The 12409-nt window shown below is 48.4% G+C and overlaps 1 annotated feature.

Annotated features, from left to right (window-relative positions):
* Nucleotides 11770-12064: a silencer, noted in NCBI's record as "tiled region #14232; K562 Repressive non-DNase unmatched - State 24:Quies". NCBI's record gives its function as "represses a minimal TATA promoter and a strong SV40 promoter by Sharpr-MPRA in K562 cells {active_cell/tissue: K562}" and the evidence as "EXISTENCE:reporter gene assay evidence [ECO:0000049][PMID:27701403]".

Raw genomic sequence — 12409 nt, 5'->3', positions numbered from 1 at the left:
GCAGCCTTCCCTTGGTGTTTAATCATTGCAGGGATGACTTTCTGATTATTCACCCAGGTTTCAGAGGTGTCAGACCATGCAGGGACGCCTGCCTTGGTCTTTCACCTTTAGCGGCAAGTCCCACTTTTCTGGGGGAGGGGCAAGAACCCCAACCCCTCCTCTCTGTGTCTCTACCCCTTCTCTGCTTTTCTGGGGGAGGGGCAAGAACCCCTCAACCCCTTTTCCTTCACCCTTAGCGGCAAGTCCTGCTTTTCTGGGGGAGGGGCAGGAACCCCGACGTCTTATCTCTGTGCCCCGATCCCTTATTTCTGTGCCCTGACCTCTTATCTCTGTGCCCCGATCCCTTATTTCCGCACCCCGACCTCTTACTCTGTGCCCCAACTCCTTATTTCCATGCCCCGACCCCTTCTCTGCTTTTCTGGAGGGCAAGAACCCCCCACCCTTTCTCTGTGTCTCTACTGTCTCTTTTCTCTGGGCTCACCTCCTTCACTATGGGCAAGTTTCCACCTTCCATTCCTCCTTCTTCTCCCTTAGCCTGTGTTCTTAAGAACTTAAAACCTCTTCAACTCTCACCTGACCTAAAATCTAAGCATCTTATTTTCTTCTGCTATGCCGCTTGACCCCAGTACAAACTCGACAGTAGTTCCAAATAGCCAGAAAATGGCACTTTCAATTTTTCCATCCTACAAGATCAAATAATTCTTGGCGTAAAATAGGCAAACGGTCTGAAGTGCCTGATGTCCACGCATTCTTTTACACATCGGTCCCTCCCTAGTCTCTGTTCCCAATGCAACTCGTCCCAAATCTTCCTTCTTTCCTTCCCACCTGTCCCCTCAGTCCCAACCCCAAGCATTACTGAGTCTTTCTAATCTTCCTTTCCTACAGACCCATCTGACCTCTCCCCTCCTCGCCAGGCCGAGCTAGGTCCCAATTCTTCCTAAGCCTCTGCTCCTCCCCCTATAATCCTTTTATCACCTCCCCTCCTCACACCCAGTCCAGCTTACAGTTTCATTCCGCAACTAGCCCTCCCCCACCTGCCCAGCAATTTCCTCTTAAAAAGGTGGCTGGAGCTAAAGGTATAGTCAAGGTTAATACTCCTTTTTCTTTATCCGACCTCTCCCAAATCAGTTAGCGTTTAGACTCTTTTTCGTCAAATATAAAAAACCCAGCCCCGTTCATGGCTCGTTCGGCAGCAACCCTGAGACGCTTTACAGCCCTAGACCCTAAAAGGTCAAAAGGCCGTCTTATTCTCAATATACATTTTATTACCCAATCTACTCCCAAAATTAAATAAAACTCCAAAAATTAAATTCCAGCCCTCAAACCCCACAACAGGACTTAATTAACCTCGCCTTCAAGGTGTACAATAATAGAGTAGAGGCAGCCAAGTAGCAACATATTTCTAAGTTGTAATTCCTTGCCTCCACTGTGAGACAAACCCCAGCCACATCTCCAGTACACAAGAACTTCCAAACACCTAAACCGCAGTGGCCAGGCGTTCCTCCAGGCCCACCTCCCGCAGGAGCTTGCTACGAGTGCCAGAAATCTGGCCACCAGGCCAAGGAATGCCTGCAGCCCAGGATTCCTCCTGAGCTGTGTCCCATTTGTGCAGGAACCCACTGGAAATCGGACTGTTCAACTCACCTGGCAGCCACTCCCAGAGCCCCTGGAACTCTGGCCCAAGGCTCTCTGACTGACTCCTTCCCAGATCTTCTCAGCTTAGCAGCTGAAGACTGACACTGCCTGATCGCCTCGGAAGCCCCCTAGACCATCACGGATGCCGAGCTTTAGGTAACTCTCACAGTGGAAGGTAAGTCCGTCCCCTTCTTAATCAATATGGAGGCTACCCACTCCACATTACCTTCTTCTCAAGGGCCTGTTTCCCTTGCCTCCGTAACTGTTGTAGGTATTGACGGCCAGGCTTCTAAACCTCTTAAAACTCCCCAACTCTGGTGCCAACTTAGACAATACTCTTTTAAGCACTCCTTTTAGTTTTCCCCACCTGCCCAGTTCCCTTATTAGGCTGAGACACTTTAACTAAATTATCTGCTTCCCTGACTATTCCTGGACTACAGCCGCATCTCATTGACGCCCTTCTTCCCAATCCAAAGCCTCCTTTGCATCCTCCTCTTGTATCCCCCACCTTAACCCACAAGTATAGGATACCTCTACTCCCTCCTTGGCGACCAATCATGCACCTCTTACCATCTCATTGAAACCTAATCACCCTTACCCCACTCAATGCCAATATCCCAACCCACAGCACCCTTTAAAAGGATTAAAGCCTGTTATCACTTGCCTGTTACAGCATGGCCTTTTAAAGCCTATAAACTCTCCTTACAATTCCCCCATTTTACCTGTCCTGGAACCAGACAAGCCTTACAGGTTAGTTCAGGATCTGCACCTTATCAACCAAATTGTTTTGCCTATCCACCCTGTGGTGCCAAACCCATATACTCTCCTATCCTCAATACTTCCCTCAACAACCCATTATTCTGTTCTGGATCTCAAATATGCTTTCTTTACTATTCCTTTGCACCCTTCATCCCAGCCTTTCTTCGCTTTCATTTGGACTGACCCTGACACCCATCAGGCTCAGCAAATTACCTGGGCTGTACAGCTGCAAAGCTTCACAGACAGCCCCCATTACTTAAGTCAAGCCCAAATTTCTTCCTTATCTGTTACCTATCTCAGCATAATTCTCATAAAAACACACGTGCTCTCCCTGCTGATCGTGTCCAACTAATCTCTCAAACCCCAACCCCTTCTACAAAACAACAACTCCTTTCCTTCCTGGGCATGGTTAGATACTTTCACCTTTAGATACCTGATTTTGCCATCCTAACAAAACCATTAGATAAACTCACAAAAGGAAACCTAGCTGACCCCATAGATCCTAAATCCTTTCCCCACTCCTCTTTCTGTTCCTTGAAGACAGCTTTAGAGACTGCCCCCAACCCAGCTCTCCCTGACTCATCCCAACCCTTTTCATTACACACAGCTGAAGTGCAGGGCTGTGCAGTCGGAATTCTTACACAAGGACCGGGATCGTGTCCTGTAGCCTTTTTGTCCAAACAACTTGACCTTACTGTTTTAGGCTGGCCATCATGTCTCTTTGCAACGGCTGCTGCCACCCTAATACTTTTAGAGGCCCTTAAAATCACAAACTATGCTCAACTCACTCTCTACAGCTCTCATAATTTCCAAAATCTATTTTATTCCTCACACCTGACACATACACTTTCTGCTCCCCGGCTCCTTCAGCTATACTCACTCTTTGTTGAGTCTCCCACAATTACCATTGTTCCTGGCCTGGACTGCAGTCTGGCCTCCCACATTATTCCAGATACCACACCTGACCCTCATGACTGCATCTCTCTGATCCACCTGACGTTCACCCCATTTCCCCATATTTCCTTCTTTCCTGTTCCTCACCCTGATCACACTTAGTTTATTGATGGCAGTTCCACCAGGCCTAATCGCCACACACCAGCAAAGGCAGGCTATGCTATAGTACAAGCCACTAGCCCGCCTCTTAAAACCTCTCATTTCCTTTCCATCATGGAAATCTGTCCTCAAGGAAATAACTTCTCAGTGTTCCATCTGCTATTCTACTACTTCTCAAGGATTATTCAGGCCCCCTCCCTTCCCTACACATCAAGCTTGAGGATTTGCCCCCACCCAGGACTGGCAAATTAGCTTTACTCAACATGCCCCGAGTCAGATAACTAAAATACCTCTTAGTCTAGGTAGACACTTTCACTGGATAGGTAGAGGCTTTTCCTACAGGGTCTGAGAAGGCCACCGCAGTCATTTCTTCCCTTCTGTCAGACATAATTCCTCCGTTTAGCCTTCCCACCTCTATACAGTCTGATAACAGACCAGCCTTTATTAGTCAAATCAGCGAAGCAGTTTTTCAGGCTCTTAGTATTCAGTGAGACCTTTATATCCCTTACAGTTCTCAGTCTTCAGGAAAGGTAGAACAGACTAATGGTCTTTTAAAAACACACCTCACCAAGCTCAGCCACCAACTTAAAAAAGACTGGACAATACTTTTACCACTTTCCCTTCTCAGAATTCAGGCCTGTCCTCAGAATGCTACAAGGTACAGCCCACTTGAGCTCCTGTATAGATGCTCCTTTTTATTAGGCCCCAGTCTCATTCCAGACACCAGACCAACTTGGACTGTGCCCCGAAAAACTTGTCATCCCTACTATCTTCTGTCTAGTCATACTCCTATTCACCGTTCTCAACTACTCATACATGCCCTGCTCTTGTTTACACTGCCAATTTACACTGTTTCTCCAAGTCATCACAGCTGATATCTCCTGGTGCTATCCCCAAACCACCATTCTTAACTCTTAAAGTAAATAAATAATCTTTGCTGGCAAGGCTATGCTGAACCTCCTTAGGCACTCTCTAATTAGATGTCCTAGGTCCTCCCAATTCTTAGTCCTTCAATACCTGTTTTTCTCCTTCTTTTATTCCGTTTAGTTTTTTAATTCATACAAAACTGTATCCAGGCCATCACCAATAATTCTAAATGACAAATGTTTTTTCTAAAAACCCCACAGTATCACCCCTTACCACAAAATCTTCCTTCAGCTTAATCTCTCCCACTCTACGTTCCCCCGCCGCCCGTAATCCCCCTCGAATCAGCCCTGAGAAACATCGCCCATTATCTCTCCATACAACCCCCCAAAAATTTTCACCGTCCCAACACTTTACCACTATTTCCTTTTATTTTTCTTGTCAATATAAGAAGACAGGAATGTCAGGCCTCTGAGCCCAAGCTAAGCCATCATATCCCCTGTTACCTGCACGTACACATCCAAATGGCCGGTTCCTGCCTTAACTGATGACATTCCACCACAAAAGAAGTAAAAATGGCCTGTTCCTGCCTTAACTGATGACATTATCTTGTGAAATTCCTTCTCCTGGCTCATCCTGGCTCAAAAGCTCCCCTACTGAGCACCTTGTGACCCCCACTCCTGCCTGCCAGAGAACAACCCCCCTTTTTCCTTTACCTACCCAAATCCTATAAAACGGCCCCACCCCTATCTCCCTTAGCTGACTCTCTTTTCAGACTCAGCCCGCCTGCACCCAGGTGAAATAAACAGCCTTGTTGCTCACACAAAGCCTGTTTAGTGGTCTCTTCACGCGAGTGAAAATAAGAATATGTATTCATCTGTTTTCACACTGCTGTGAACAACTTCCCTGAGATTGGGTAATTTATAAAGAAGAGAGGTTTAATTGACTCACAGTTCTGCATGGTGGGGGAAGCCTCAGGAAACTTACAGTCATGGTGGAAGGGGAAGCATTCACCTTCACGAGGAGGCAGGAGAGAGAATAAAAGAGGAACTCACAAACACTTATAAAACCAGCAGACCCTGAGAGAACTCAATCACTATCACAAGAACAGCATGGGAGAAACTGCCCTCGTGATCTAGTTACCTCTCTCCCTTGACACGTGGGGATTACAATTCGAGATGAGATTGGGGTTGGGACACAGAGCCCAGCCATATCAGAATACATACCTCATATGGCTATCATGTAGACTAATAAGGAAACCTATGCATGATAGGCAGAATAGAGGCCCCTCAAAGATGTCTACGTCTTTGGGATTCTGCTGTCAAGGCCTCATCCCAGCCACATAAATCCAGGTGAGGCTAGGAGGTGTGTTCTGAGCCTCTCAGGAGCAGAGAAAACCATTTGCAGCTGGTGGCTGCCTTAGACTCATCCGAGGAATTGAAGGGTTTGATGTGTTCCTGCCTTGTCCCAGCCCATATTCTGGAAAATGCTTTATCTAAACAGCCTGGCTTTAACTGTTGTTTGGAATTTTGACTAATTTTCTTAGTGCTCCTTAAATATCTGAATTCCCAATAACCCTCATAGAAGAAGGCTGTACAACTTACTAAGCACACGAGAATTTAAATCATGTGTCCAATTCTTGGCTCTCCCTGTTACTAGTATGTGATCTTGGATAATTATCTAATCTTCCTAAAGCTCAGTTTCCTCATCTGCAAAAATCAGGCAATAGTGTGCTCCTGACAGGCTGTCGAGAGGGTTCAATGAGATGATATAAATAAAGTACTTAGCACAGTGCCTGGCAGAGAGTAAGTGCCCCAAAATGCTAGCATATATTATTAATCACCCACAGTATGCCATCACCCTGAGAGCAGGGGCTGCTGAAACAGTGCCTCTCCCACACCCAACAACATCCCGAACAACAGGGCCCCAACACATCCCATAGTCTCCAGCACAGTCTTGTGCACAGGCAGGCTACAGAAGCCCATGAAGGCCGCCAGAGAACAGAAAGATGAAGCCACATGCAGCAGCCTGGTAACCTTGGAGAAGCAGCCCCGGCATCCCAGAGACCTGACAAGTCCTTCTGCTGCTGGCTGCCACATTTGGAGCTGAGACAATCAGCCTGGCTTACATCAGTTCTCTTGAGTGGATTGTGGAGGGGCTGCTATGGGTGAGGGCGGGTGGGCTTGGTGCCGGACTGACTGCTCACTTTTTCTTCCTTCCCCATGCATGACAGAGGAAAAGGGACTGGACTTCACAGAGTGATTGGTGTTGCATTTTGTCTGTGATTTTCCATAGATGGCAGCCTCTCCTGATAAATTCCCAGGCACTTCTTGGGGGTGTAAGTGAGTGAAGGCTCTTTGCCAAGGACCTCTGACTCCCAAAGCTGGCGAGGCTGGGAGGCATTTCTCAGTCTCCCTCCCACTCTGTCTTGGCTGTGCCTCTTCCCTGCTACCCCCCTGACCCTGAGGACACCACTGCACTGATGTAGCGCCAGAGCAATGCGAAGGCACCTGAGAATAACAGAGATGGACAGCCATCTTCTTTCATTTTTGACCTCTTGGAGCTAAGACATGACTTTGAAAAAGCTCAAGGCCCTTCATTGTACAACACAAAGCAGGCTCAGGGCACCAGCTGCTTCATGATTGTTCTCTTGCTATGGAAGGCAACCCCAGCCCCCTGGAGTCTTATGCCAAGAAATCAAGATGTATGGATTATTTGGATGGAAGGAAGGAAGGAGGGAGGGAGGGTAGGAAGGAAGGAGGGAGGGAGGGAGGGAAGGAAGGAAGGAAGGAAGGAAGGAAGGAAGGAAGGAAGGAAGGAAAGAAGGAAGGAATTTAGGTCAGGAGAGGAAAGTTTGACCTTGTAGTTTGGAGGCAGGTCTATTCTAGATAGGCAATATATCTGAGCAACCAGCAAAGCCATCGAGAGAGCCCTGTGGCTGATGCTGTGGCCGGCACCACATAAAGAGCTAAAAGTGCCAGTGAAATGGATGTGGCTGCTGACCAATAACCATCATCCCCTGACAGCAGGTGCAGGGGGCAGAGGGACAAGTGGAACCTCTTTGTCTTGTCATTGCAGACCAGAGTGCCCACAGCGATGTGAAACCTATTTGTCCTGGAGGAGGAGGGAGGAGGGAAAGGGAAAAAAAACAACTGGCTCACTCTGGCTCCATAAATCACTGGAAGGGAGAGCCCTTGCCTGGTGAAGTTGGAGATTCTACCTGGAAGCTCCCTGATGGTGCACTGAGCCGGGGTGTCGTAAATCACCAGGGCTCCGCCAATGGCAGCCCTGCCCACTGGCCCATTGAAAAGGGGCTGGTTGTTTTGCTGGCAGCTGATGCAGTGCACTGTCCCAGAAAGCCGGGGACAGGTGTCTGCCAGGCCATGGACCCAGGCCTACTTTGTGTGCTTCCCTTGGGTGTGATGGGGGGAGAGAGGCGGTGGATTGCTGTCCCTGGGAACTTGGCCCGGTGGCCTGGCATAGCCGGAATGTCCTTGGCCAGCTCTTTGTGAACAGCCAGAGGCAGTCAGGAGATGCATCTCATGATCAGATGGCCTGGGCTTGTGGAGTCTTTTTCCCAGGTTTCAGAATCATCTGAGGTCACTTGAGTGTCCTTGCTGTCCTTGTTAGATCCCTCAGGTAGCTCTCTGAGTCCTAATTGTTCAGCTTGTGCTGATTTTGTTTAGCCTGGATGGGCATGCCCCAGGGGTAGATGTGTCCACATGGACCTTTAATAGTTTACCTCATTGTCCCAACCATCAAGGAGAGGGGCCATCCCCCCAAAAAGGGACAATAGCTGCCCCCTTTTACCTCCCCAGGTGGGCTACATGTATCCCCACCACCACCCTTCATCACCCTCAGAATCACATCCCTGCTCACACACCTGCAATGCCTCTTCCATCTGGCAAACGCTTGACAATGCTACTAGGCCCTCTTTGAATGTCCTGACTTCTGGACCTCCCATGACATCTCTCATCACCACCTACCAGAGAACCAACAAGAGCACTTCTTTCCTTCATTTGTTTAGTAAACAATTATTAAGCCTCTACTATGTCCCAGATGCTGTCAACACAGGAGAACACAACATGGATGCAACCTCTGCCCTCATGGAGCCAGTGGATTAGAGACACAATACACATAATAAATAAGATGGTTCCTTCAATTCATGTTTTCAAGGAAATAAACAAGAAGCTGAGAGCAAATAATGCAGTTTAAAGTACAGAAGCTGCTATAAAGGGGGTGACAGAAGAAGCCTCTGAGGAAAGGACATTTCAGCGGACACTGAAGATGGAAAGGAACAGGCTGTGCGTGGTACAGTGGGAGGAGCGGTCCAGACAGAGCGGGAAGTTTGTGCAGACAGAAGATCAGGGAACAAGGGGGACAGGGACCCCTGTGTGAGGGGAGGGGAGCACATGGTCTTGGGAAGGAGGTGGGTAGAAGTCTCTGCCCGGGTGCACTCATCCTTTGGCATTTGCCTCTCCCTTGGCAGGTCTTTCATATTCACCTCATTGGTTTACTGCCCTGGCCTCCACACTGAGTATGAGCCCTTCCAGGGCAGGGCTGCGTCGCATCCTGTGTGCATCCTTGCCCATTCGATGAGTCACAAGTAGACAAGCTGCCTATTGGGCCCTGAATACCTGAGTAGGTTTCATACCTGCCTGGCCTATCCCCTCTCCCTCCCTTCCAAAGGTAAACCAGAAGTCCCTGCTGGCCCCTCCTGTAGGAGAAGGGGATGCAGAGCCAAGTGGCTGGAGGAACTGGCCTGACTTTCATCCTGAGATAACCCTGGTACCTGAGACACAAAGTCCACAGGCTTGGAACTGCTGCAGACTCTGGGTGCTTTTCCAGCTGCTGGTGATACCAGGGGTTCTCAGCAAGGCTGAGCACCTTTTATGGACTCCCCCTGTCTTGCATGCCTGCCTGGAACTTGTGATCAGTTTCTGTCCATTGTTTAGAAAGTGTTACCATATATAATAGCTGCTAAGAACAAAAAATGACATGTGCTCATCAACATAGGATTAGATGTGTGGCAACCAGCATTGATCAGATACACACTTTCCATTTCAGTTCACCACGTGTTTCGGTGTCAGGCACAGGGTTGCCAAGAACAATGTGGCCCCTACCTTAGAGAGACTATGGTCTGGTGGAAAAAAAAAAAAACAAAAAACCAAACAGATTTGTGAACAATTAAATCGTAGAAAATATTTTATTTTATTTGCTATGATGTAGACTTCAGTTCAGCTTACAGATAATCAATTTTACCTGGGGAGGAAAGGAAGAGTAGGGGATATTGGAAAGGTTTCCATGCAGGAGAAAGTGAGTTCACATCAACCAAGCAGGCAGGAGAGAAAAGGCCCTTCAGGGAGAGGGAGCAGTGTGAGCAAAGAAACAGGAAATGGTATGTTTGTTGCATTAACTGTAAGAATATTTGACAAGGTTTGAGAGTCAGAGGCCAGGGGCAGCAGTCAGGCTACGGAGGGATTTGTGTGCTGGGCTCAGGAGCTTGGGCTTGATCCCACTGGCATAGGGAGCACCGCTGAAGAGCTTTAGGTAGGAAAGGGGGTGGTAAGGTCATATTTACCTCAGGGAGAGATTGCTGGACTGGCAGTGTGGAGACTGGAGGAGAAGAGTTCAACTCAGGAGGCCAGGCAATTAGTCCTGGCACAAGTGAGAACTGTCACTGGGCGTAGCCAGGGGCTGGGAAAGAGGGAAGATTCTAGAGGCCTGAAGGAGTTGGAGTCAGCAGGACTGAATGCTGCATTGGAGATGGAGAAAGAGGAGAAGTGAGGGGTTAAGGCCAGGCTGTCAGGGTTCTCCTGCAGGAGACAGTGAAAACTTTCATGAGGCAGAATGTAGAGGAAGGAGCAGATTTGGCATCCAGTTTGGACAGCTTGAGTTGGTCATACTCAGCAGCAGACTTAGATCCTGGCAAGGGGTCTCTTCCATAGGCCCCACATTTTGGGGGCTCCATTCTAGCCCTTCCTGGGTCATACCACTTTCCATGAGCAAGACAAGTTAGTGGGACCATGGAGACGGGCCCACCTCGATCCAGCAAGGCCTTCTTCTAGAACTTGCTCCAGGTAACAAGCCTGGGGGTGCCCAGTCCAATGACCCCAGCCTGTAGCTTCTTCCCGGGTGTGTCCTCTGAAAGATGGCCCACATTTCTGATGTGAACTCCCCAGCTTCCAGCAGTGGCCAAGTGGCAGTTTTCTGGTGGGGTGTGGAAATGCAGCTTGGATGTGCAGCCTGGGTTGTCCACATATGTACATGTGTGCAACTCCTCTTGCAGTGGGACAGAGTAGGGGTTTGGAAGATAAGAGGTCTCCATTTATCTCCCACAAATATGAGGGACAGACCTGGAGACAACCTGCAGGGTTATCTGAAATCTTCTCTTTTCCAGACTAATTATAGTATCAGCCCCCTACCTTACCTAAGCTGATCTGACTCCATTTCCAGACCCCTCATTGTCCTGTTACCCTCCTTTGAATTGACTCTAAATTTTACGTAATGAGGAGGCATACAGATAGCTTCTGTATGAACTCTACAGTCAGGGATAACCGGAGTATGTGGATTCAGTTCCACTTGCTGCATCCCCAAAGGCACTGATGGAGGCAGAGGTGACTCCAGGATACCTTAGCGGGTGGGAGAGATGGGAGCTACCTGGGGAAGGGTTTGGAGCTGGCAAGATGTAATTCAGAGGAGCAGATAATGAGAAAAGGATGGAGAGAAAGGCGTAAAGGCATTCAGGACTTGCCTTTCATAGGATTCCAATAAAGACAAAGGAAGGGTCTGCTTTGCTTTCAAGCCTGTGGTCCTCACCCAGACTCCCCTGCAGGGGCTCCCCTTTGTCTCTTTCATGAAAGCCAGTAGGTCTCCTTCACCCTTTTTCTCTGCTCTGATTACAACACAGAGCCTTCTCTTTGGGAGCAATAGCCATCTGGATTATCTTCTCTTCGTCTGGCCACCTCATCAACTCATCATCTTTTTAATAATCTCATCTGAAAACATATCCTTTCTCATTTGCTTCTTAATTTCCCCATTGTCCAGTGACTTTTCTCTCTCTCCCTTTCTCTGAAACCTTATTCTTATTACTTTATAGAACACTGGGGGATAGATTGCCCAGAAAATATGTACTATAAAGTAAATGCATATGGTGATATCTATGAATTGCCCAGATCCAGTCCATCTGTGCAATGTCACAGGCCCAGCTGTTTACTTGTGCACAGTGCAATTGCAATGGCTTTATGACATGGGCACTGGCTTACAAGCTACTCTGGTGCTGGTCAGGAGCTTCATGTGCACAGTTAACCTTAGATCACTGTGATTAATCAGAGTGCAGCCATGGTAGATCACAGGCTAGTCCCCTGGCAAGGCCAGCAGGAGCACTCCTCCAGCCTGAGCAAGCGGGGAGCAGATTTTAATTCCAGGCTGTTAGGTGCTGCCTGACATTGGTGTCCCTGTGGTGTTTCATAAGCCCTGACAGTTCCTCACCATTGTTTTAGGGAAAGCAGGCACTCCTCTCACTTTACCACCCCATTGCCTTCCCTGGAAATGAACACTTTCTCCCCACTTTGAATCTTGTGCCAGAAGGAAGGAGGGGAAATGACTGCACATTCCAAAAAGGTCAAAGATGGTCTGAAAGCAAAGGATGCACGCGTCTGCATCATTTCCAACAGCCCTTTGCAGTTCCTTTTAATTAGCTCAGTTTATGTTCCCCTCAGGTGGGGAGAAGCCCAGGATCACTCTGTCAACAGTTCTATCTATAGCAGAACCCCCATCCTTCACCCCGGCGTCTCCACTTGCACAACACTCGCTGACCCCGAGACTCAGCTGTGAGAATCAATCATCTCCTTCCAGAATTCATCATTCAGCAGCTGCGGGGCCTCAGCTATTTTTATCACCGCAGGAAGCTGGTGGCCAAGGACGTGCTGGGCTACCTTTGCAGGAGGTGTTGCTGTAGAAATGAGCTGTGGGTTGTCAGGGCAGCTGAGCCTCTGCCTCAAGGTTAAATCCAAAGTGCCTGACCTGGAACAGGAGAGCACTTGATCTTCTTCCATTCTGCAGCAAAGTGCCCCAGAGGCATATGCTGGGGAAGCAG

This window comes from Homo sapiens, chromosome 14, assembly GCF_000001405.40.
Source record: "Homo sapiens chromosome 14, GRCh38.p14 Primary Assembly".
Taxonomy (NCBI): domain Eukaryota; kingdom Metazoa; phylum Chordata; class Mammalia; order Primates; family Hominidae; genus Homo; species Homo sapiens.
The sequence above is the reverse complement of the archived record's forward strand: the minus strand, read 5'-3'. Positions and strand labels throughout refer to the sequence as shown.